Raw genomic sequence first — 24768 nt, forward strand, 5'->3', positions numbered from 1 at the left:
GAGAGATGGGGTTTCTCCATGTTGGTCGGGCTGGTCTCCAACTCCCGACCTCAGGTGTTCTGCCTGCCTTGGCCTCCCAAAGTGCTGGGATTATAGGCGTGAGCCACCCCACCTGGTCGACAGTGTCTTCTCTAAGCAGAACTGTAGCCCTGAAGCGCCCAGGCTAGAACTCTCTATTGAATGAGGATCACTCCATTGTGCCAGCTGCTCTCATATTGCTTTGATGGCCTTTCTCAGAAAGGAGAAAGGTGGTGCTGGGTGTGGCTTTGGCTTCCTATGGCCGCCCCAATGCTGGTCTGACACTTTCTGAATCTGGTTTGTGGTTGGATCTGTGCATCCTACCGCTCCACTCCATGTCCTGGCCTTGGAGAAATCATTTCCCTCCCGCCGTGATTGTTCACCTTCAAAGGTCAACAAAGGCAGTAGGCACTGCTGAGCTCTTGCAGCCTTCAGGGCTGAGCTGCTTCCTCTCCTGCTTCCAGTGAGGGGTTGCTTGAGGGTGCCTTTAGGAAGGAACCTCACCCCTAATGTAACTTGAGCAGGTCTTTGCTCTAAACTCTTCGCTGGGAACATACCCTCCCGTGGGACTTGGCATGGCACCCACCTCTGCAGAGCCACCTGTGCCACAGAATAACCTCTTCTCCCTAGACACACTGTGTGTCCTTGGTTGGATTCTCTAGATGGGAGGGACCGGCTGAAGCATAACTGTGTATGTTCACATATGTGCCTTGGAAGAGTTTTATACAGGAAAGGATTTGTAAATCAGAAAAATGAATGCTGGTATCTAATTTCCTGTCCCCGTTTTAAGTCCAGACCAAGTCACCTAACCCCTCGGGCTTGCAGCCCGCATCATCCACTGGGTGATTACCTTGAGTTATCTGGTTCAGTCCCTTTGCTGTGGGCACCCTCTTTACCTCTACAAGTAAACTGCAATTAATCTGACAGCAGGGGCAAGGGAACTGACGAGTCTTGGGTGCAAATCTTGAGATGCTTTGGCACATTATCTAATTCATTGTTTTTCTTTTCTTTTTTCTTTTCTTTTCTTTTTTTTTTAGACAGGCTGGAGTGCAGTGGCACGATCTTGGCTCACTGCAACCTCTGCCTCCTGGGTTCAAGTGATTTTTGTGCCTCTAGCCTCCTGAGTAGCTGGGATTCCAGGTGTGTGCCATCACGCCCAGCTAATTTTTGTATTTTTAGTAGAGACAGGGTTTTGCCATGTAGGTCAGGCTAGTCTAGAAGTCTGGCCTTAAGTGATCCACCCTCCTTGGGCAGGGTGCCACCTGCCTGAAAGAAAATGCCCACCCTAGGGAAAAAGACACACACACACACACACACACACACACACACAGAGAGAGAGAGAGAGAGAGAGAGAGAGACCAACGTGGCCTCTCTAAATAGGTAGTGGGTTAACCTTCAGAAGCAAAGGCAGACAAAAACCACTTGTGATACCTGCTGCTGCGTAGAGCCAGCCAGCATATAGATTATGCTTTCTTCCTTCTGAAGGAAGACTCTAGGATTACAGGAGTGAGCCTGGCCCCAATTCAATTCAATCTTTATGGGCATCGAACAAGGGCATTATTTATTACCCATGGTTTACAGAAGTCAAACCCAAGTCTCAGAGAGGGAAGACATTTTTTAGTCTCACTGCGAAAGTAACAGAGCTAGAATTTAGTCTCTGTCACGCTAAATCGTGCTACATGCTCCGTCTAGTTCAGAGCCTGTGTGGAGGTCGACACTGGAGTCCCTCAGTTTTCCTCATCAGGCTCCTGGTCTGATTCTTCCAAGATCAGTCTCTTTCCCTCAGCGGAAGCCAGCTGGGAATCACTGGCCTTGTAACCTCTTCAGGCGACCTCCTTGGGATGTTCACAAGGAGCATAGCCATCTGGAGAATGATACTGTTTTTTCCTAGGGCTGGGATGGGGGTGGTATCCCTCACATCATTCCAGAAACAGCGCCAGCCCTGCTTTTATCAGCGGGGGCCACAAAGAGGCGACAAGCCCTGATCAAATGTGAGCGAGATTGACAATCTCAGCACTTTCCAGGGAAAGGATGCCGTCCCACATGGCTTCAGGCCTCCGAGGAAGCCCCATCCTGAGACAGAGAGACCCCAAATCACAGTGTGTTTCCTTTTGGCCAGAGATGAGGCTTACTCATCTCAGACAGCTGTGTCCACGGCATGTTCCTCAAGGACAGCTGCTCCAGATGAAAAGAAGAGATGCTCCCAGAGCCTTGAGGGGCTGCTGATAGGAACCCAAGGCCTCACCCTGGGGCTGTATCCTGTGGCTTCAAAAATATATGTATTTGAAAGCTTCTAGCAAAACAGATTACACAAGAACGCAAATGTAAGATCCCTTTGGGATTCTAACTTTTTTTCTTAAGGTGTTTAAAGAAAAATGACACCCTTAAAAAGAAATGCCATTTGTTTTCAAAGCTGCAGCACCAGAGGACATGGAAGAGAAAGGCTGAAGTGTCCCTGAAAATGAGTGAAGATTCCAGTCTGTTTTTACTAATGTCCAAAATCTTAGGTTTATTGCCTTTGCGTTCCTCTGCCCCAGGGTCTCTGTGTGGCAGGCGAGTGGGTCTCGTTCGATGGTGCAGTCATCGTGTGGCGGAATGCATGCTCACACAGGGAAGTTGGTTGAGCGTCTCCTTTGAGCAGTCCTTCCTCTGGTGAGGTGCACAGGCGGGCATCATGCCCATTTCATAGATGAGGAAACTGAGGCTGAGAGGGATGCTGCAATTTAGGACTTCTGGGTGATATCACAGAAGCCTCATTCTCTTTTGTGGCATGTACCTTCTCTATTTGGGAAGTTAAATTGGACTATGGGGATTGGACCAAGGGGTCTTCTTGCTTCCGCTTTCTCTAGGCCAAGGCTTTGCAGTTATGGAGGAAGAAAGAGCTGGGGTCTGTCTTGGCAACCCTGTGACTCTTCTCCCCTATCCTCACCTGCCTTCTCACTTGACCAACATATTTTAAGGGCTCCATGTACAAAGGTGGGGCTGTGGCCCTTTCCCAACCAGCACCTTGGCCCTGTACCCTGATATGGGATGGTTAAGGCACACAGGCTTCATGGATGGGGGCCTACGACCGCAGATGGAGCAGAGGTGGACAGGGTATGGTCCGGCAGGTGGAGGTGCTGGAGAAAAGCCGCGTTAGGCAGCACGGGAGCCAGGTGCGGGGTCTCTCAAAGCCTCGAGTCCCTGGCAGTGCTGTGCTCTGTGAGGACTGCTTTTGACTGCAGGGCACTGACACTCATACCTTTTGCTTCTGCAGCTGACCATACTCCCTGGAGCCTTCTCCCGAGGTGCGCGGGTGACCTTGGCACATACAGCCATCATGATGGTACTTTAAGTGGAGGCTGAATCATCTCCCCTTTGAGCTGCTTGGCACGTGGCTCCCTTGGTGTTCCCCTTTTACTGCCAGGACACTGAGATTTGGAGAGGTAAGTGGCTTACCTGAGGCCATGTGCTAACAGAGAAGATGAAGAGATGATTGAAACAGGCCTAAGACCAGACCTAAGGGTCTGTACATTTTCCACATACTTTCCATATCTTTAGAGGCCTGACCAAAGCAGATCTTTTCCTTTCTTCTAGGTAAGTCCAAAGGCACCTGCCTGCTGGGCCCACTGTTTTCTAACTTTCCTAACTTTCTGATCCCTTGGAGGTGATAATCAAATATTCTAGTCTGAGGCATTGGGATACATGGTGCTAGGTTCTGAGACTCTGCGTCAGGCCTGAACCCTGCATTTTGTGGAGGTGGGTGGGAGAATGTTCCCCTGGGGAACATGCCTAGACACGGGGGACAACAGTTGCCCTCATGGGGAGGTACCTGTTTACTCGCTGTTATGGGACCGCTTTCACAAAACCACTGCAGGTGAGTGAGTTCCTGCTGAATATCAGGCCTGGTGTCTCTAGACTCATTATTTCCCCCACCCAACCCCTATGTTAGTTCATCTCGAGCCACATTTTTATTGCCATAATCCAGGCCTGGACAGGCCAAGATCTTTTAACAATTTTAATTACTGAAAATAATAACTGCATTTTTTTTAAAGCCCAACTTTTGGTAGAGTCAGCCCAAAATACAGTCTTTGTGTTGCCATCTGGGAACTGGATTTGGAATTGTTCTTCCATGAGACTGCAGAGCAGAACGGCAGGGCCAGAGGTCCCACGAGCTGGTCAGACCCGGTTCTGCTCCTTGCTGGCTGAGTGACCTTGGGCATTGTGATTCATATTCTCATCTGCCTTCAAGTGTGGTTACGAATGCTTTTTATCCTGCTTATCAATTTCTATGATTGCCATAAAATATTAACACAAATTTAGCATTTATATAACATAATATATTAATGCATAGTTTTTTTGTGGGGGGGGGCGGTGGAGGGGCAGTGTTGAGACAGAGTCTTGCTCTGTCACCCAGGCTGGAGTGCATGGTGTGATCCTGGCCCACTGAACCTTGACCTCCAGGGCTCAAGGGGTCCTCCCACCTCAGCCTCCAGAGTAGCTGGGACTTCAGGCATGAGCTACCACACCTGGCTAATTTTTTGTATTTTTTGTAGAGACGAGGTCTCACTATCTTGCCCAGGCAGGCCTGGAACTCCTGGACTCAAGCGATCCTCCCACCTCGGCCTTCTAAAGTGCTGTGATTACAGGTGTGAGCCACTATGTCCGGCTCACGTCCAGTTATCTAGGGCAGAGGTCAGACATGGATCTCTCCAGGCTAACATCAAGGAACCTGTAGGCTGCCTTCCATTCTGGAGACTGCAGGGGAGAGTCTGTTCCTTGCTCATTCTGGATGTTGGCAGAATTTGTTTCCTTGAGGTTGTAGGGCTGAGATCCCGTTTTCTTGCTGGCTGTCCAGATGCATTGAGCTTCTGGAAGCCTCCTCGCTAGGCTTGTGGCCTCCTCTCTCCATTTTCAAGTCCAGCAATGGTGGGTCCAGTTCCTTTTAGGATTTAAATCTTTTCTCCCTCTTTCTTTTCACCTCTGTGATCTCAGCTAGAAAAGATTATCTAATTTTAAGGATTCATGTGATTGGACTGGGGCCACCCTGATAATCCAGAATAATCCCTACTTCAAGGTCCTTAGGTTTAATCACATCTAGGAAGTTCTATTGCCATGGGAGGCAACATATTCACAGGTTCCAGGAAATTCCGACATGGGCATCTCTTTGATTGGAATGAGGGGTGGCAGGTATTCTGACACAGTACCTCAGAAGGGTTGCTGTGATGATGAAGTGAATGGAGACACGTAAAGCGCTTAAAATATTATGTAGAGCCATGTGAATTTGGCAGCATTGAATTGTTGACCTATAAAAGGTCAACTTAATAGTATCTGGTCTATAGTAAATCTTCAGTAAATGTTTGCTGTCATTACTCTAGTGGTAGAAATGTCATGCTTTATTTAGCCAGTTTGCTATTGTTGGGCATTACTTTTTAAAGAGTTATTATTTTGTTATTATAGTATATATGTGAACACCGTGATCATCATGCCTTTGCAAATTTTATTCTGATTTAGGGCAATGCATGTCTTTCCAGGCCACACTCAGTCTCCTGCTCTGGTGCCAGTGTCTCTGTGGCCTGAGGGGCCCCTCTTTCTTGCAGAGCCCCTCATCCAGCACCAGCTCAGCTCTGGGCCATGTGTGTGGGGTGGGACTTTTCTCTTTTGGGAAGTGGGCCATGCCTCTCCTTCCTGAGACCATCCCCTTTGGCTTCCTCGGGGCCCTTGGCTCTTTGAACCAGCCTGCAGGGCACCACACCTGTGGGCCCATTTTTGTCAGGAAACGACTCCCTTCCCAAGGGCACCCTGAGTCCCAGGTCCCCAGGCCCACAGATGTTGGGCCCTCAGAGTGTGATCCCATGTCCCCAGCTCTGTAACTCCCTGCATGTGGCTCTTAAGACTCACAAGCCCATGTTTGCCTTGGCCAGACACTTTCGCCTGTCAGTTCTGCCAGTTGGGAAGTGTCATCCCCACTGTGTGAATGTGGAAGGGATAATGAAGAATTTCCACGGCTTGCCTAGGGTCGTTGAGCAATGTGGAAGGGATCATGGAGAATTTCCATGGCTTGCCTAAGGTCATCAAGCTGGCATCTCAACCCAGGTTCATCTGCCTGTGATGACAGGAAAGAAATCAGGTGTGATTCTGTTCTTGTTGACCCATAGCCACCTCTCTCATTAAGGCTTCTCCTGCAGGCAACTACACAGCCAGTGGTGGGAAAGCACCTAATTTACATCTTCATGCATTGAAACTGATGTCACTCACCTCTCCCCCTTGACCTGGAAGAGCCCCTGAAGGCTGCCATAGGGGAAATGATAACCCATTCTACAGCTGCTGAAACTGAGGCCCAGGGAGTGTCCAGAGCTTTCTGAGGTCCACCATGTACTGTTGACCAGGATGAGTGATAGCCACCTGGTGACAATGTTGAAGGTTCTCATTCAGTAGAGCTGGGTTCAATTCTGACTTGCCTGACCAGCTGGTGCCTCATTTTGCTCTAAGTATTGGAGCCTCCAGCTTTATTTTCTTTCAGTGGGAAAGACTGTGAGATTCAGTCCCTCCTTGAAGCTGCGCATCGACTCTCCTGTCCTGGGTACTCTTTAGGTAGTGGCTGTTCTGAAGTGGCTTTGGAAACCCTGGAATGAAACTGTCATGTCCAATGCTGAGATTTGTATAAACTGTCATTTTAACTGTGATTATTATTCCTTAGGATTTGAGAAATAAAATCTGAGGAGGGAGCAGGACCTGCCTCAGGGCCTCCTCTCCAAGTTGAGTGACCCATCTTCCCAGGTCTCCTTTTGTTCTGTCTTGAGCCTCTCTCCTGAGGTCCTGAAAGAAGAGAATGTGCTGTTGTAGGGGGCCTGGAAATGTCCCATGGACCATCTCGTGACTCAGTAAGATGATGTGTGTCCTCTGGGGACAGAAGGAGGTCCTGCACAGAGTGTTCCTGCCCGTTGATGCCCTCCCCAGATCCTAACGCGAAGTCTGACACATAGTAGCCTCCCGGTAATCTTAATAAGCAAAAGGACACATTTCTCAAGTGATCTTAGCACCATTTCATGCAATCAATTCCAGCCCAGCCCTTTATTCTGGCCAGCCCTGGTGGGTCCATTAGCTGCAAAAATTAGTCGTGCTCAGTTTTAATGCAAATGACTAAGTATTACTTTATTGAATTGATTAATAAAGAAGCTCTCTTTGTATGATATCAAGACCATGAAGAAATTGCAAAGACATAGGTAGGGTCTACAGCAGAGTTTCTCAGCCTTGGCGCTGTTCATATTTTGGGTCAGATGATTTGTTGTGGGGGCTGTCCTATGTATTGTAGGATGTTGCTCGGCATCTCTGGCCTCTACCCACTGGATGCCAGTAGCTCTGTCAGTCGCAACCCCAGCTTCCAGTTGGGACAACCTAAAGTGTTTCCAGACATTGCCACATGTTCTTTTGTGGTGGTGTTGGTGGTGGTGCGTACATATGTGTGTGTAAAAATCTCCCTTTGTTGAGAACCACTAATCTAGAGACCACCTAATTAGGGCTGACGTGGGCTCTTCCACAGAGCCTTCTCCTTAAAGACAGATAGGTTGATGGACAGTTGGATTTAGGGAAAAGAAAACTGAGTTGAGGGTTTAAAGTGAATTTCATCCCCAATGTGGAAGATGAGCGTTCCGTTCCTGGCTGTAGGATGTGGAGCATGTTACTCCACATGTGGGAGAAAAAAATCATCCCATCTACTTCAGGACTTTTGTGTGATTAAAGAGGCAAGATAGTCTAGTGCTTTTCATTCCATGCGCACTCAATAAAAAATAGGGGTTATATTTATGAATAGTAACAAAAAGCCTCTTAAGGAAAATTATTTTGGGCCCTTGTTCAAGGTTCAGTTGACCATTTATTTTTAAAGAGATGGGGGTGGCCCAGGCTGGAGTAGAGTGGTGCCATCCTAGTTCACTGCATCCTCAAACTCCTGGGCTCAATCGATCCTCCTGCTTCAACATCCCAAAGTGCTAGTATTATAGGCATGAGCCATTACACCTGGCCCATTTGACTATTTTTTCTGCTTGATTGTAGAGAAGGGAATGTAAGTCATGAAGATCTAAACTATAAAACCTGCGTGGCTTAGAGGCTGAGCATGGATTGTGATTTAAGGAAGCCCCAGGTTCAATTTCTGGTTCTGCCACTTGCTAGCCATGGTGAGACCTTGCCCAGCTTTCATACTTTCAGGTTCTTTGTCTGTAAAATGGGAACAATAAGAGTACTGACCTCACCGGGCTGTTGTGCTACTGGCTGTGCTGCCTGAATGGGCCCTCCTTTATTTGAATCCCTCTGCCACAGTTGTCCCATTTTTTTTTTTTTTAAATGGTGACCCAAGTTCCATTATGGACGATCAGGCATTCAGGGGAAGGAGGGATCCAAAGCAGAGACAAAAGCAGCCAGCCAGCTCATCCCCTCTGCAGCTGATACCGAGGAGGAGGATGCCAGTGGGAAGAAGCGTGGCCATATGGCTGGCAGGATGCCTCACTGGTAACAGTCAGCCCGGCCCCTTTGAAGTGGTTTTAAGACCAATTTGGTAACTTGATTTGGAAAGTGGTATCGATGACTCCGAGGGCGCAGGCTGCTCATTAGCTGCTGTCTGGGCCCGGCAAATTGGTTTAAGTGGAATGAAATTGGTTCCTTCCCTCCCCGTGCTCATGGCTGAGGTCCAGGCCCGATTGTAATGGGAACCTCTCCTGGGCAAAGGACATAGAAAAGCTTTCCGGGGAGTCTGACCCTCTTTTTTCATATGTGAATTCTACTTTCCCCTGGGGGTCAAGGCAATAGGCTGATAAAACATAAAAATGAACCTGAAGTGGGTGGGGTGAGTGTGTGTGTGGGAAGTTGGATCAGAGGAGAATGAACAATGAACAGTGGCCGAGTGTTTTTCAAGGGCCAGTTAACCATTCCCCTGTTGAGACACTGTGCTTGATGCATTTTTTTTCTTTTCTTTCTTTCTTTTTTATTCTCCCATATTACAAACACTGCTGGGAGGAACATCCGCACATGCTTTCTTGGTCACTTATGTGAGAGCTCATCCAGGATTTATACCCTGAGGCGACTTCACTGCCGTGGAGGCTAAGGAACATTTTCTGTTTCATAAGACGCGATCACATTGCCCTCCAGAACAATCATGCCAGTTTACACTCCCACTGACTGTACACAAGAGCCCTGTTTTCCCCCATCTGGTCACCCACATTTGATAGGTCAGAATTTTGCTTTTTGCCAGTCTCATGGGGGTGATGCCATTTCTGGTAGTTCCCCTGATTGCCAGGGGGATGAGCAGCCTGCCCTCAACTGCCCCATGCTGAAGGCCCTCCAAAGGCAGCATGAATCCTCACAGTTCCCAGCCTGTGCCCTGACAACCTAGGAGGACACGCTGGTCTGGTCCATTGCTTATCTGAAACGATTCCCTTTCCCTGTTCCTTTTGTTGCCTTGAGTGTCAGTTTTGGACCTCCCACTGAGCAGTTTTTTCTGTCACGTAGCCATAGACAGGACTGAGTTCTTTGGAAAATAATCACATCCCACTGTTGTTCCCATTCGTTCATTTTTTCCTTCAACTAACCAACATTATTCAGCACTTTACTCAGCACAGGATGTGGAACCGAAGGCCTGGCTTTTGGGACACTCACCGTCCCCAGTCAGCTCTGTGTCCTAGGGAGAGACCCATGAGCTCTCTGGGCCTCCTTTTGTTTCTCTGTAATAAAGGACTAAAGCTACCAGCCTCGCTGCGGGTTGGAAAAAAGAAAGAGTTAGTGTAACACATGTGAATGTGTACGAAGGGGTTTAGAGACAGACAAAACATTGCACCAAGGCAGGGCTCGCTGGAGTGCAGACCCAGGAAAAACACTGCAGGCCAAATTGCTTCTGGTCTGTCAGGGTACCAGCCACACATCCAAGGCAGGGAACTTAGGGCGATTGGCCTTTCTGCTCATGCTTACTCTCCCAAGCTTGTTGGGTTATTATCATGCACAAGCCATTCAATCGATTGTATTGGGTGCCTAATATATCAGACACTCTTAGGTGCTAGGGATGTAAGAGCAAGCAAAACAGACATGGTTCTGCCCTTGTGGGCTGTATAGTCTAGTGGAGGAAGGGGGAAGAGGTTAAGTATTTGTAGGAAGGTGAACCCCATGTTAAGAAAGCATCTTCCATCTTTCAAATGTTTCCAAGTAGCTGGTTATTCATGATAGCGAGGAAATGGTGGTCATCTCCATTGCTCTGGTAACTAGTTTGTGTCTGAGAAAGTGCTGATTTCCAAGAAAAGGAAAGAGACCACGGATGAATGATAGCAAGACTATTAAACAGGAATACAAAGAAGAGCTCACATTTATTGAGCACCTACTATATGTGCTGGACCCTCTTGTAAGAGCTTCATACAAATTAGGCAGACAGGCAATATTATTATCCCCATTTGATCTACAAGGAAACTGAGTACAAAGTGATAGCTTTTCTGCAGAGCTTGTGCACAGGGGCCAAAGTTTGGGAACAATGCCTTTCTTTAATTTGAAAGTATCTGTTGTTGGTGTCACTTGTTGGAATTCCTAGAATCCCAGAAAAGTAAGTTTAAGTTTTCTTCTGCCAGCATCGGTCAGCCTACCTTTGACCCAAGGTCACGACTCCCTCCCTCCTCCCTTCCCTTCCCTGCTCTGACATTCTTACCTTGTTTTTGAGTTCCTTATTCCCTAGCTTCCTCCAAGCAGCAGGCTCTGGGAACAGTCCCGTTCATTTATATAACAAATATTTATTGAAATGCAGACTTGTTGTTTTCATAATACCTGTGTACAAGTTAAACCCGTGGTCACTTGTTCATGTGCCTCTTGTTTATGACAAGAGGTGGTCCCTTGTTGAAAGCCTGTCACATGGCAGGTACTCAGTCTTTTCTTTCCTTCTAATAAGTAGGTGAGTATTTTCCTTGGTTTGCACACGAGGAAATGGAGGCTCAGAGAGCTTAGGTAGCTTACTCAAAGCCACACAGCTGGGTTAAATGGGTTCAGCACCATGAAAATCTGACCTTTAATGTCTGCACTCTTATTCTCTGGCTTATTGGGAAAGAATTGGACAGGGATGGTAAATGGAGTTGATGGAGGCAAAGAGATAATTACTGTTGCTCAAAGGTGGATCGAGAGAGTTTGGGCAAAAACGGAACCACGAACAAGCCGTTGAAAGTCCCCTCATCCTGGACCTGTGGTCTGTCCTTTGTAACTGCTCTTTTTTTGGCATTCCCTCTGTCTCCTCTGCCCATCCCAATGCCAGGCACACTGAGCCTGTAGGGATTTACAAGGTGGGCCTCAGGTTTCTCCCCTCCCAGGTGGGCATAGGAATCACTGCTTAGCTTAGATTTGGCAGAATGAAAGAGTCAGGCAGAGTCTCACCCGGCCCTGTTTCTTAGCTGCTTTGACACCTGGGGCAGGTTTTTGGACCTCTCTGGACATGGCCAGCTGTGTTGTGACTGCCCACCAGAGGCTGGGTCTGTGAATGGAAGACTGAAGAAAAGGCGATGATCACAGTCCAGGGACAAGGTTTCTGAATCTTGTGAAATAGTTACAAATACTATGAAACAGGAATACAAAGAAAAGCTCACATTTATTAAGCACTTACTTTGTGCTATACCCTCTTGTAAGAGCCTTGTACAAATTAGGCAGACAGACAATATTATTATCCCCATTTTACCTATAAGGAAACTGAGTGCAAAGTGACAGCTTTTCTGCAGAGCCTGTGCACAGGGGTCAAAGTTTGGGAACACATTGCCTTTCTTTAATCTGAAACTATCTGCTGTTGGTCTCATTTGTTGAAATTCCTAGAATCCCAGAGAAGTAAGTTTTAGCTTTCTTCTGCCAGCCCCGGTCAGCCTGCCTTTGACCCAAGGCCATAGTAAGTTCCAGAGTGACTTCCCGTCTGTTTTATTATCCCTGACAAAGGGATACAGTATTGTGCGGTGGCTGTGGATGGCGTGTAGTAGTGTTTTCCTTCTCTTGAAAAGCAGCTGCTGAGTGGTGGAGCACAGAGGTATTCCCTGAGCCCCAGCTTGTGCCCATGGTAGGTCCAGGGCGTTTGGGGGAAGGAGACCGACTCTAGGTGGTCCCGTCTGGTTTCTCAGGGGAGAAAATTCATAGATCCATCTCCTAGCTGTCATCCAATTCTGTGTAGAAGGGGAAAGCCAAGGTTGCCCTCAGATTTTGATCTTGGTTCACTCTGATTTCTCTATGCCAGACTAGTAGAGCTTCAGGGAAGCTTGGTGACTATGACTGGATGAATTCTGTCCCCCTTAAAACCATAGGTTGAAGTCCTACTCACCCATACCTCAGAACGTGACTGTGTTCGGAAATAGGGTCTCTAGAGAGGTACAGTTAACTGAGCTCACGTGGCGGGGCTCCAATATGGTCAGACTGGTGGGTGTCCTTATCAGAAGAAGAGATTAAGATGACAAAGGAGGAGTGAAGACCACGTGTAGACACAGGGAGGAGGTGGCCATCTACAAGCCCAGGAGAGAGGCCTCAGAAGAAACAACTCTGACCACACCTTGATCCTGGACTTCTGGCTTTCAGAATTGTGAGGAAATAAACCTCTGTTGTCTGAGCAACCCAGCCTGTGAAAATTTGTTGTAGCAGCCCTGGCGGATCAATACAGTGACCATGAGCAAGTCACTCACCCTCTCTGAACCCCCTTGGTCTCAGCTCTAAAAAGAAGCCTGAGAATTTCTGCCTCACAGGCTGTGGTAAGAGGCATCAGAAATAGCCGACTTTCATCGGAGGCTCACTGCGAGCCAGGGCCTGTTTAAGCCTTTTCCATGTCTGAACACACTTCATCTTCATGTGTAGCCTTTGGCTGGGGAGGGGAGATACTATTGTTCCCATTTTACAGGTGAGGAGAGTGGAGCACAGAGCTGTTAATTAACCTGTCCCATGTTAGTCAGCAAGGAAGGGGCTGGTCCATATGTGGAACTTCGTAGTTGTACTCTGGTGCCCACACACCAGATCACTATGCCGTCCCAGCTGTTGTTACAATAAGACTATGTAGGTGAAGGGCCCACCCAGTAGTGCCTGGCCTATGGGACACATTGAAGACCAGCCCCCTGTGACCAGAACCTCCCATTTGCTGCATTGAGTTTGGAATGTTTGAACTCCAGGAGCTGTGTGTGTGTGTGTGTGTGTGTGTGTGTGTGTGTGTGTGTGTGTATCTGTCTGTCTCCCTCTCTCTCCTCTCTCCCCTACCTTCCTTTTCTTCCCTCCTGTTTTTGGGAGGGAGCTCAGCCTCCCTTCACTGCCACTGCCCATCAGCATCCTCTCCCTATTCAGCCACCCCCACCCCCCATCCCTGGTATTAATTGACTTTGGCTCCTGTCCTGGAGCTCAGCCTGGCACCCAGACCTGCCGTGCTATACTAACACCTCTCACATGGTTAAACCAATGGGGGTGGCATTTAGCAGATGACGCTGAAACCCGTGAATCTGCCCTTTCTCACTGGGCCCTCACTGCTCTAGAGTCCCCGCCTCTTTTACGAAGCGGCTGTCATGGTTGATGGGTGAGTGTCAGGCCCCACCCAGGGACAGGGAGGCCCAGTGCCGGCTGTGGAGTTACCCAGACCTTACGGTAAAAACGCATCACCCTGAATGGGGGCCAGGCCAGGCATCGGCCCAAGCCGGCCCTGCCCAGCGGCTGGATTCTGACTCGCTGTGCCTTAGTCACAGGCCAGAGACTCTTCTGCTTCCAGCTGAGGCTGTCCCCTGCCTTCCCTGGCGGCCCGGGTTCCTGGAAAAGCTGTGTGCCAGAGGACGGGAGTTTCCCTCCAACTTAAGCCATTAGAAAGCTCATTTATTGAGCACTTACTAAGTGTCAGAGACTGTGCTAGGCACTTTACATGAATCTTCTCATTTAATCCTTTTAATAAACTTCCGGGGCACATGCTCTTCTAATCTCCCTTTTACTGATGATGCAGGCTTGACAGTGGGAATGCTAACCGCAGAAAGCAGCTCACCTCACTTGGGTGCTACTGTGTGCCAAGTCCTGGGGTTAGCACCCAATAGCCCCGTGGCGGCATGCTGTTATTACTCTCCCTGCATAGGAGTGGGAGGCTGAGACCTGGGTGTTTCTGGGTGTCCCAGCTCCTGTATGCCATCTGCCTGTCCAGCCCTTAGCCACAAAGCTGTTGTGCCATGTGGGGAGATGCGGCCAGTTTCCCAGGTGAGGCTGGTCCTGCTTCAAGCGTGGGAGCTCCAACCACTGCTCCACGCTGCCTCCACTCCTGAACCTGAAGGTGGAGGAGTTTCCCACTGTCTCAAATAAGCACCGGGGCCCAGGGGTCACCAGGCTCAGATGGAATTTGCTTAAAGGACTCTTGGGAGAAAAGCTGATTGGGGGATGGGAAGAGACAGCTGGCAGTCACTTAGGAGACAGATGTGTCACCAGAACTAAAGACTGACCTGGGAGGACTGACTTTCACCCAAAAGGGCCTGGGCTGGGAATTCTCCTTTATGTCTCCTTCCCTCACACTCAAGATTCAGGTGCTCACAAGGAGCACCTTCGAGTGAGGAGGTGTAGGAGGGAGGATGGCTAACAGCTCAGTCTGCTCAGCACTTTTACAGTTTATAAGCCATTTCACAGACATTATCTCACTCCATTGGGCAATCATATGGGAATGCAAGCCACTGTCTTTTCTTTTCTTTTTTCCAAATGGAGTCCTGCTGTGTGGCCCAGGCTGGAGTGCAGTGGTATGATCTTGGCTCACTGCAACCTCCGCCTCCCGGATTCAAGCAATTATCCTGCCTCAGCCTCCCAAGTAGCTGAGATTACAGGCATGTGCCACCATGCCTGGGTAATTTTTGTATTCTTAGTAGAGATGGGGTTTCACCATGTTGGCCAGACTGGTCTCGAACTCTTGACCTCATGATCCACCTGCCTCAGCCTCCCAAAGTGCTGGGATTACAGGCGTGAGCCACCATACCCTGTGCCCCTGTCTTACTGAAGAGGGAACCGAGGCTTCCTTAGAGAGGGAGAGGACCCTCCTGGGAAACTTTCATCCCACCTGCTCCTTCTACCCCAGTGCACTGCTGGAGCTCAATATTCCTGAGGCAAAGCTCCCTGCACAGCAGTGTCCACAGCCGTGTTGTTGTCATACCCGTGCACTAGCAGAGAGCTCAGGGGTAGGGCCCTGGGTAGGAAACCCAGGGCAAGGCCAGTGGGTAGAGTTGATGCAGGCCTCAGGCTGATCAAAAGGAAGACAGCGTCACAGCATGGATCTGACATCTGAGGGACGTCAGATCACAGAAAGGTCTTGAGATTAGAGCTGAATGAATACCCCTAGGAGAAACTAAAAGGCGTGTAACAAAGGAGTACAATATCAACAGCAAGCCTCCCCCGGTCATTACATGCCTAGACTGTGCCTGAACCTCACATTTGTCATTGCACTGGTCCTTGGCACTGTCCTTCAAGGGAAGAACTGTTTGCCCTATTTTGCAGACTAAGAAACACATCCAGGAAGCAGCTGAGCTGGGAATTAAGCCCAGGGTTGATCCCAAAGCCTCCCTTCTTTCCATGCTGCTCTGCTCCTTACAAAAACAAAAACAGAATTCCTTTTTTTTTTTTTTTAAGATGGAGTCTCACTCTGTTGCCCAGGCTGGAGTGCAGTGGCATGATCTCGGCTTACTGCAACCTCCAACTCCTGGGTTCAAGCGATTCTCCTGCCTCAGCCTCCCGAGTAGCTGGGATTACAGGTATATGCCACCACGCTCGACTAATGTTTGTGTTTTTAGTAGAGACGAGGTTTTACCACATTGGCCAGGCTGCTCTCGAACTCCTGACCTCGTGATCTGCCTGCCTTGGCCTCCCAAAGTGCTGAGATTACAGACGTGAGCCACCGCGCCTGGCCAAAAAACAGAATTCTTTCAATGTTGCTCTAGGAAATTTATTTTTAAAAAATGAATTTCCTTCTGCAATGCCTGGCTCACGACCGATTGTAGATCAAGAAACAGATCTTGGGCCTTTGCCACCCAAGCAGGTTCAGAAAGACTGCCCTGGCCTCCATGTGCCCAGGGAGGCCAGAGGAGCCCACAGTTTCACTGTCTCAGCAGAGCTGGAGGAACCTGTTAAACTGTCTAAGAAGCTAATAAAAAAATCCCAGTGAGATCATGTCTGTTAAAGCCCTTTGAGCTCCCTGAGCTCTGAGGCTGTCTTAACACTCACTGTCTCATTGCTTACTCAGCACAAATTTCCCCAGGGCTGCAAAGCCCCTTCCCTGTTTCCAGACCCCTGGTTTCCTCACTCATTTCATTTGATGCTTCCTTTACATCTTGAAGATCTGCCATTTTTTTCTTTAAACACCCTATTCTAGAAAGAACTGGCATGTTTTGGGTACCTATTTTGTGCTAAGTCTTTTTTCTCCATTGGCTTTATAGTCATACTTTGAAACAAAATGTAATATGTGCCCTCATTTTCCGATGAGGCAACAGAGGCACAGTCTGGGGAGCTCAGCAAGGTCTCATGTTTTAGAATCACAAGCTGTGTCTGCACCTAGGTTGTGCCTGCATTTTTTTTTTTTGAGACGGAGTCTCGCTCTGTGGCCCAGGCTGGAGTGCAAAGGCGCGATCTCAGCTCACTGCAACCTCCACCTCCCAGGTTCACGCCATTCTCCTGCCTCAGCCTCCCAAGTAGCTGGGACTACAGGCGCCCGCCACCACGCCTGGCTAATTTTTTATGTTTTTAGTAGAGACGGGGTTTCACCATGTTGGCCAGGATGGTCTCGATCTCCTGCCCTCGTGATCCGCCCGCCTTGGCCTCCGAAAGTGCTGGGATTACAGGCGTGAGCCACCGCGTCCGGCCCGTGCCTGCATTTTTCAGGTCATTCTCTCCAGTAGGCAGAAGCTTCTCTGTCCTTCCTCAATGGGAGAACAAGGACCTGTCTGGAATTTGGCTCTGAACTGATGGTTATGGCACATTACTTATTCTTGCTTTGAAGGTCAGGCTGGGCAATCTCTGTCCTTTTGAATTGTCCTGGAGTATCTTGGCCCCGATCTGCTGGGAGATCACCCTACTGCAACCTCCCTGTGCAGGAATGCTTTTACTGGACTCTGCATAAAATGAATGAACAGATAGATCTTGATGTTGGAGATATCAGCCTGTAGATTGCCTGAGAACCTGACTCAAACCCCACTCTTGTCTCCATCTGCAAAAATCAGGCTCTTTGGAATACCTTTATCAGGGGATGGCCATAAAGATTGTTAGAAAAATAAATTATAATAGCTAACATTTATTTAGTATTTAGTATTATAGTAACGTTTATTTAGTATTTAGTATCAGAAACCATTCTAAAGTTTGCTCTGGTAGCAACAGCACTATCCACACCCCTCCCAAATTAACCATGAGATAAATTGAACGGGTAATTTGCTTCCATTTTACAGATAAAAAAGCTGAGACTGAAACTCTAACTTGCAGAATTGGGCTGAAACCCAGATCTCCTGAGATTAGGGAAGACATTCCCTTCTCCCTACTCCAAGAAATCTGTTGTGAGCTCATTTCTATGTGGACTTCCTAGATGACTGGAACATTTTTTTTCTTCTTTTCTTTCCTTTCCTCTTCTTTTCTTTTGTTTCCTTTTCTTTTCTTTTGCTACAGCTCACGTAGGTGCCTCGTTCATAATTTCTCCTTCCCAGTAGAATCCCAACTACAGAAGATACATACATAAATGCAAAGCATGGTCTAGGCAGGTTGGCTCCAGGACTTTGGAGAAAACGTGCACAAAACTTGAAATACTGATCATCTTGAATATCTCTTAATTACTAGCAGTAAGGCACAACCATATGCAAAAAGAAACCAAAACCATGGACTTTTGCCACTGCTTGACATTGCTCCAAGAAAAAACTTGCCTTTGAGGGTGAAGTTGACCTCCGTTACTCTTAAGTTTCCTTATGTGCCTCAGAATGTTATTTGAGAATCATTCTGAGGGATGACAGAGGCCTGCAATACCTATGTCTTAACTAGAACAGATGCTTTGTGATGAAATTGTCTTGTTGTGGTTGTGTGACTGCTGTGACTGAGACTCAACAAGTACCCACTTTTTTTTTTTTTTTTTTTTGAGACAGTCTCACTCTGTCACCAGGCTAGAGTGCAGTGGCGCCATCTCGGTTCACTGCAACCTCTGCTTCCCAGGTTCAAGCGATTTTCCGGCCTCAGCCTCCCCAGTAGCTGGGACTACAGGCACGCACCACCACCCCCAGCTAATTTTTGTATTTTTAGTAGAGATGGGGTTTCACTATGTTGGCCAGGATGGTCTCGATCTCTTGACCTTGTGATCCACCCGCCTCGGCCTCCCAACGTGCTGGGATTACAGGCATGAGCCACTGCGCCAGGCCAACAAGTACTCACTTCTACCTGTGGGTGTGGTTCAGCGCCCCCAGTGCCTCTCCCAGGTGGGAGTTGCCTGCCTTGAGCAGGTGAACAAACTGAGGCCCAGGGAGTGGCTTCCCCAAAGTCATACAGTGTAGAAGAAGGATTCGGGCCTCTGAGTTCGTGGATTCCTCCATGAAGCAATGACTGAGCTGCTGCTCTGCAACTGGTGCTCGGCTTGGTCCTGGGGGTCTGTGAGCTCTGTACCATGGGCCAGCGCTTTCTGTGTGCTGCCACATTTATCCTTTGCACCACCCTACAAGCCTGTCCTCCAGGTCCTCCATCCTTTATTCAAAACATTTAGGATGAATTATGTTTGGGAGTTTATCCTGTTTTGAGATTTTAGAAACGCAATACAGTACGCATATCATACTATGTGTTATGGGCTGAATTGTGTCTCTGCAAATTCACATGTTGAAGTCCTAGTGCCAAGGACCTCAGAATATGACTGGATTTGAAGGTAGGGCCTTTAAAGAGGTAATTAAGTTAGAATTAGGCTATTAGGGTGGGCCCTAAGCCAACTGGGCTAGAGTCCCTGTAAGAAGAGGAAATTTGGACAGAGACACCAGGATGCGCACACACAGAGGGAAGGCCATGTGTGGACACAGTGAAAAGACAGCCATCTGCAAGCCAAAGAGAGGCCTCAGGAGACACCCAACTGCCAACACCTTCAACTTGATCTTCTGGCCTCCAGAATTATGAGAAAATAAATTTCTGTTGTTAAAGCCACCCAGTCTATACTCCTTTTTTATGGCAGCCCTAGCAGACCAATATACCGTGTGTCTGGGGCAGTGCCTCTAACCAAGCCCAAAATTTCTACAGGGAAATATATTAATTTTCATAGTAAGTGGGATAAATAAAATCCATAAATAGCTTCATGGTAGTTCAGGTCAAGATACTAAGTTTCCAACACACAGTATAAGAGTTATGCCCAAGAGTCTGTAATCCCCTCCCCTCCCCTGCCCTCCCCTCCCCTTCCCGAGACAGTCTCTGTCGCCCAGGCTGGAGTGCAGTGGTGCAATCTCGGCCCACTACAACCGCCACCTCCCAAGTTCGAGTGATTCTCATGTCTCAGCCTCCCGAGTAGCTGGGATTACAGGCACGTTCCACCATACCCTGCTAATTTTTTTTTATTTTCAGTAGGAATGGGATTTTTTCATGTTGCCCAGGCTGGTCTCAAACTCCTAGCCTCAAGTGATCTGCCCGCCTCGGCCTCCCAAAGTGCTGGGTTACAGGCGTGAACCACCACACCCGGCTGTAATATCATTTCTATTCTGCAAATAAAAAGCCAAGCTCCAAGAGGCTTAGTAATTTGCCCAAGATGCCCAATTAGTTTCTGCAAGGGCTAAATTTGTAGCTGGGTAGTTGGCCTCTAGGCCTTTGAATTTGCCTGTCATACTGTACCACCTCTTTGACAGAGATAGCCTGGGTTAGTGCCCTCTCAGAGCTTGGGGAGGTAGACAGGTACATCTACAACTATAGTATGTCACAATGGAGTGTGAGAAGGGCATCTGGGACCCAAGCTCAAGGGGAAGAGCCTTGGCTTTGGCCCCAGCACTCAGCTGTTCCAGGTTGAGCCTTAGTGCTTGTTCCACAGGAAGGATGGTGCAGAGCCAGGCTGGCAGGGCTGGGGCTGGAGCTGAGGCTGAGAGGGGCCTGCCCCTCATCCATCCAGCACCATCAAAGGCCTTTCCTTGGCTGGCAAGAAGGGAGCTCTGAACAGTCTGCTCTGTCTTTCCATACTGTGTAGGGACAGATAGGGAGCTGTTGCAGGAGAAAGAACTGCCACCTCTTTTCCAGGTTCCGTGGTGAAGGGAAGACACAGCTCTGCAGTTTAATTTTTTGTTGTTGTTGTGTTTTTTCTGTTTTTGTTTTTTGAGACGAAGTCTCGCTCTGTTGCCAGGCTGGAGTGCAGTGGCGTGATCTCGGCTCACTGTAACCTCTGCCTCCTGAGTTCAAGCGATTCTCCTGCCTCAGCCTCCCGAGTAGCTGAAACTACAGGCACGCGCCACCACGCCCAGCTAACTTTTGTATTTTTAGTAGAGATGGAATTTCACCATGTTGGGCAGGATGGTCTGGATCTCTTGACCTCGTGATCCGCCTACCTTGGCCTCCCAAAGTGTTGGGATTACAGGCGTGAGCCACTGCGCCCTGCCAGTTTAATTTTTTTGTAAGTCTCATGTTTCTCTGCAAAACTTGAAAACAGGGTCTGCTTCACACTTGAGCTAGAGCCCTCCTTTTAGCAGAAGCTTGTTCTTATTTTTTCATTTTTATTTTATCTTAAGAATGGCCTGTCATAGGCCTCATTATTATGGTAGGCACTATTATTACTATTATTATCATCATCACTATCATTATCACTTTTTATTCTCTCTAGTGATTAACCAGTCATCACTGGCCTAGCTTGCATGGTGGTTTAATGCTTTTCAAACAACTTTTCAACCACCATTTACCTCTACTTTAGCTACTAGTACCATCCCTATTTTGCACATGTGGAAGTGTAGGTTCAGAGATGCCAAGTCACTTGCCCCAGGTTGCACAGCTTGGGGATGGCAGGATCCACACTCTGCTCCCGAGCACTAGGAAAAGCACCATGATAGCCTGTGACATGAAGCCCTCTACAGACTCAAGTTTCAGGGGTGGTTTTAAACATGTCTTCTGGCTGGACACGGTGGCTCATGCCTGTAATTCCAGCACTATGCGAGACCGAGGTGGGCAGATCACGAGGTCAAGAGATCAAGACCATCCTGGCCAACATGGTGAAACCCCATCTCTATTAAAAACACAAAAATTAGCTGAGTGTGGTGGTGCAAGCCTGTACCGTGCAGCTACTCAGGAGGCTGAGGCAGGAGAATCACTTGAACCCAGGAGGTGGAGGTTGCAGTGAGCCGAGATTGCGCCACTGCACTCCAGCCTGGTGACAGAGCGAGACTCCGTCTCAAAAAAAAAAAAAAAAAAAAGAAAAGAAAAGAAAAAAAAGTCTTCTGCAGGCCATGGGGGACATGGTCTTCATTTTATAGGTGAACAGACTGAGATACAGGAGGAGTCACTTGCCTAGGGCCAAACAGCTCGTTCCTCTTCAGGCCTTCCCGGTCCTGGGAGCGAGTGTTTCTCTTTGCCTTGGGAGGCTTTGCAGCTTGTGCTGCGCAGCTGATAGCACTGCAACCCCTGAACATGCACACACACACAAGGTGCACACAGGCATGCGCATGGCGGGGAGGTGTGGGTGCACTTTCCAGCTTCCCTGCCGTGCCTCGTTCTGCAGGGCAAGGCCGAGAAACAGCGGGCAGCCTGTGTGATATGGGGACAGACATGTTCTCAGATCTTGGCCATGGTTTCTAATTCCCTGGCACCAGAAGCCCTGCTGGGTGATCAAAGCTGAGTGCCCCTAACAGAAAGCAGAGAGGCACATGGGAATGACAGGTGGTGAGGTGAAGGGAACACGGGCGTGGCATCAAACAGGATGGACAGAGTGGTTGGTTGGCTGATCTAAGTGTGGAGGAGGTTGTAAACTATTCATTTAAATGAATATATTTATTCAGCACCTACTATACCAACCTTAGAAAACTTCATACTTTCTGTTTTTTTCTCTTCTTTTTTTGTTTTTCTTTTCTTTTCTTTCTTTTTTTTTGAGACAGAGTCTGGCTGTGTCGCCCAGGCAGGAGTGCAGTGGCGCGATATCCACTCACTGCAACCTCCGCCTCCTGGGTTCAAGTGATTGTCCTGCCTCAGCCCCCCGAGTAGGTGAGACTACAGGTGCACACCGCCATGCCCAGTTAATTTTTTGTATTTTATTGGAGCTGGGGTTTCACCGTGTTGCCCAGGCTGGTCTCGAACTCCTGAGCTCAGGCATCCGCCTGCTTTGGCCTCCCAAAGTGCTGGGATTACAGGCATGAGCCACCATGCCCGGCCCATGCTTTCTGTTTTATTTGATCCCCTTTTTGGGGAAGACAGGGCAGGTTGAAAGGTCTGCTTTCCAGGGGAGGAAACTGAGGCTCAGAGAGGAGAAAGTCAGGCGCCAGAGGTAGATGAGAGCCAGGATTTGACCCAGTGATTTAGGATTCCAAGTCCAAGGCTCAAAGTGTGACTTGACAGCTGCAATCTGGGATCTGGATGTGTGCCTTCTGTGGCTCGGTGACTCCAGAATTTTTCCAACATCTGGTTGTACGGAATAACAATAGTAGCACGAATGATCCCATAGCTGACAGCCACGGGAGCCATGTGCCAGGCCTGGTTCTAAGCACATGTCATATTTGAACTCACAGAGTCCTCCTAGCTCACTGTGAAGTGGATACTATCGAAGGGGAGTCTTAAGGGTTTCAGTCAGTTGTCACGGTCACAGCACCAAGATGGGAACCCAGCAGGTGGCCTGGGTCCTCATGGTTTGCTGCTGTTCTGTGCTGCCCCTTAGCGGGGTGGGGTGGGGTGGGGTAGGTGGGCTCAGGCCTGCAGAGCTTCTGTGTGGCTCTAAGGGAGAAAGAGCAGAAGGGAGATTTGGGATGTCTTCTGAGTGCTAGCCACGTGAGTGCATTTTACCAAGCGAACTGATGACTATCAGTCCCCTGATTGCTTCCTGTCTTATGTTTTTATCTTATCCACGCATTTAGTGGGCATTTATAAAGGAATTCTGGTATTCTAAATATTCTACACTCTGGGGATATAAAAGTTAAAAGACCCAGGCTGGGCGCGGTGGCTCACGCCTGTAATCCCAACACTTTGGGAGGCCAAGGCGGGCGGATTACGAGGTCAAGAGATCGAGATCAGCCTGGCCAACATGGTGAAAACCCATCTCTACTAAAAATACAAAAATTAGCTGCACGTGGTGGCACGTGCCTATAGTCCCAGCTACTCGGTAGGCTAAGGCAAGAGAATCGCTTGAACCCGGGAGGCAGAGGTTGCAGTTAGCCGAGATGGCGCCACTCTACTCCAGCCTGGCAACAGCGCGAGACTCTGTCTCAGGAAAAAAAAAAAAAAAAAAAAAAAAGACCCAGTGCCTACCCTTAAAGGAGCTCTTCTTATTGAAACTCTTTAAGGAAAGGAGGCAGGAAACAGACATCTTTAATGGGCCAGAGGCTGATTTAGGCTGTTCAGACATTGTTAAGCTGCTCAGCATCTGAAGTTCAAAGAGGCTGAGAACAAACCGGTTAGGAAATGGCAGAAGGGGGTTGGGACCTAGGTGAGCAGCCCGTCAGGAGCCCCTGGGTGGCTTGCACTCCTAGCCCCAAGTGCAATATACAGGTGAGGCGCCTGCAGAATTTTCATTAGGCTGAGTTCATTTCTGGAAGCAGGGAATTGGCATCCACTTAACCATCCCTAATGCCTGCCTTTTCATGTATGTCTGCACTTACTTCTGGCCTTCCCCGGATGCAGTATGTGATTCCTGGAAGGGGTCTCCTGTACGTCGTAGTTTTGTCATCTTCAGGCAACCCAGGATGACATGATTTCTGGAAATTTCCCTGATTTCTTTCTGCTTCACTCTCCCTCTTTTGCTAGAAGGGATCGGCTTAGGCAGCCATTGTGGTGTTCATTCAACATGTCCAGTACAGCCTGTTACTGCAGTTTCCAAGTTGGAGGGTCCGTGAGTCTACTCCCTTTTTTGAACAGAGGGGTACATGGGGAAGCTGAGCCTCTGATGAATGGGTTGATTTGTCCCAGGTCACACAGCTTGAGGGTGGCAGAAGCCAGATCTCAGGTCACAGAGTGGCTCTCCTCCATTTGCCTCCCTGGTCTTGCCTCCTGGAGGCCTGTAGATAGGAGACACCCTTCCTGGAAAGACAACAGCTTGGGGACATTACAGATAAGGCTGGGCGGGTGTGCCTAGCTAGCCCAGAATAAAAGGATCACCGAGAGAAGTTAGGAATCGACCTTCCTTGAGGTGGGTTCTGCAGATAAAGATGCTTTTGAAGTTCAGTTGGTGGGAGATAGGATCTTTGTGGCCTTCTGGATGGATGCACCACGATAGGGAAATCAGCAAGCTGAAGATAGGGAAAGTGAACACTTATCACTGAAGGCCTCTGCAGGGTTTGCTTTGAGGTACTTCCTTCCTGTCAACCCTGTTCTGGAGTCTGTCTCCATTTTTCAGACACAAAAACTGAGGCATAGATAACTGTTTTCTGTTTTTTGTGGGGAGAGAGTATTATTGTTTCAATTTCCTGGACACTTCAAAACATAGGGTATTTCTCATTATGCAATAGTTTAATTGAGCACATACTGCAGGCCAGGCATGGTGCTGCATGCATTCTGGAAGTACAGGAATGAGTTGGAAGTGCTCTTTTTCCTTAGAGATTTTTTGTTCTCTTGTGTGTGTGTTTGGGGGTGGGGGGGGCGGGCGGGCACGAATAGGGGAGGAATTTAGATGAGAAATCAGATAATCAC

At 48.5% G+C, this 24768-nt stretch overlaps 2 long non-coding RNA genes and 1 other non-coding gene across 53 annotated transcripts in view, besides 4 other annotated features; 2 read left to right on the forward strand and 1 right to left on the reverse strand.

The window, feature by feature from the left end:
• Positions 1-24768, forward strand: part of PVT1 (Pvt1 oncogene) — a 306733-nt gene that overhangs the window by 141710 nt on the left and 140255 nt on the right. For 46 of the 51 annotated variants that reach the window (NR_186144.1, NR_186151.1, NR_186146.1 and 43 more), the window contains one exon: positions 3275-3443. The exons of 4 other annotated variants lie outside the window; for them this stretch is intronic. This is a non-coding gene — a long non-coding RNA (Pvt1 oncogene). Of the gene's footprint in view, positions 1-3274; positions 3444-5921; positions 6128-24768 lie in introns of all 51 variants that reach the window. One more of the 51 variants, NR_186132.1, reaches the window with a different exon arrangement.
• Positions 3168-3690: an enhancer, noted in NCBI's record as "H3K27ac-H3K4me1 hESC enhancer chr8:128951647-128952169 (GRCh37/hg19 assembly coordinates)". NCBI's record gives its function as "activates a minimal SCP1, AML or CMV promoter by ChIP-STARR-seq in naive H9 embryonic stem cells {active_cell/tissue: H9 hESC(naive)}" and the evidence as "EXISTENCE:reporter gene assay evidence [ECO:0000049][PMID:30033119]".
• On the reverse strand, positions 10326-12490 carry LINC02912 (long intergenic non-protein coding RNA 2912). Its single transcript, NR_103558.1, has one exon. It is a non-coding gene; the product is annotated as a long intergenic non-protein coding RNA 2912 (long non-coding RNA).
• Positions 21116-21927: an enhancer, noted in NCBI's record as "H3K4me1 hESC enhancer chr8:128969595-128970406 (GRCh37/hg19 assembly coordinates)". NCBI's record gives its function as "activates a minimal SCP1, AML or CMV promoter by ChIP-STARR-seq in naive H9 embryonic stem cells {active_cell/tissue: H9 hESC(naive)}" and the evidence as "EXISTENCE:reporter gene assay evidence [ECO:0000049][PMID:30033119]".
• Positions 23776-24751: an enhancer, noted in NCBI's record as "fragment used in the MYC e2 reporter construct". NCBI's record gives its function as "activates a MYC promoter by reporter assays in K562 erythroleukemia cells {active_cell/tissue: K562}" and the evidence as "EXISTENCE:reporter gene assay evidence [ECO:0000049][PMID:27708057]".
• Positions 24158-24269: a transcriptional cis regulatory region, noted in NCBI's record as "e2 or genic|chr8:128972465-128972985 region (GRCh37/hg19 assembly coordinates) targeted for CRISPR interference". NCBI's record gives its function as "positively regulates MYC gene expression in K562 erythroleukemia cells {active_cell/tissue: K562}" and the evidence as "EXISTENCE:mutant phenotype evidence [ECO:0000015][PMID:31784727]".
• Positions 24400-24462, forward strand: MIR1205 (microRNA 1205). Its single transcript, NR_031610.1, has one exon. It is a non-coding gene; the product is annotated as a microRNA 1205 (primary transcript).

This window comes from Homo sapiens, chromosome 8, assembly GCF_000001405.40.
Source record: "Homo sapiens chromosome 8, GRCh38.p14 Primary Assembly".
NCBI classification, from domain to species: Eukaryota; Metazoa; Chordata; class Mammalia; order Primates; family Hominidae; genus Homo; species Homo sapiens.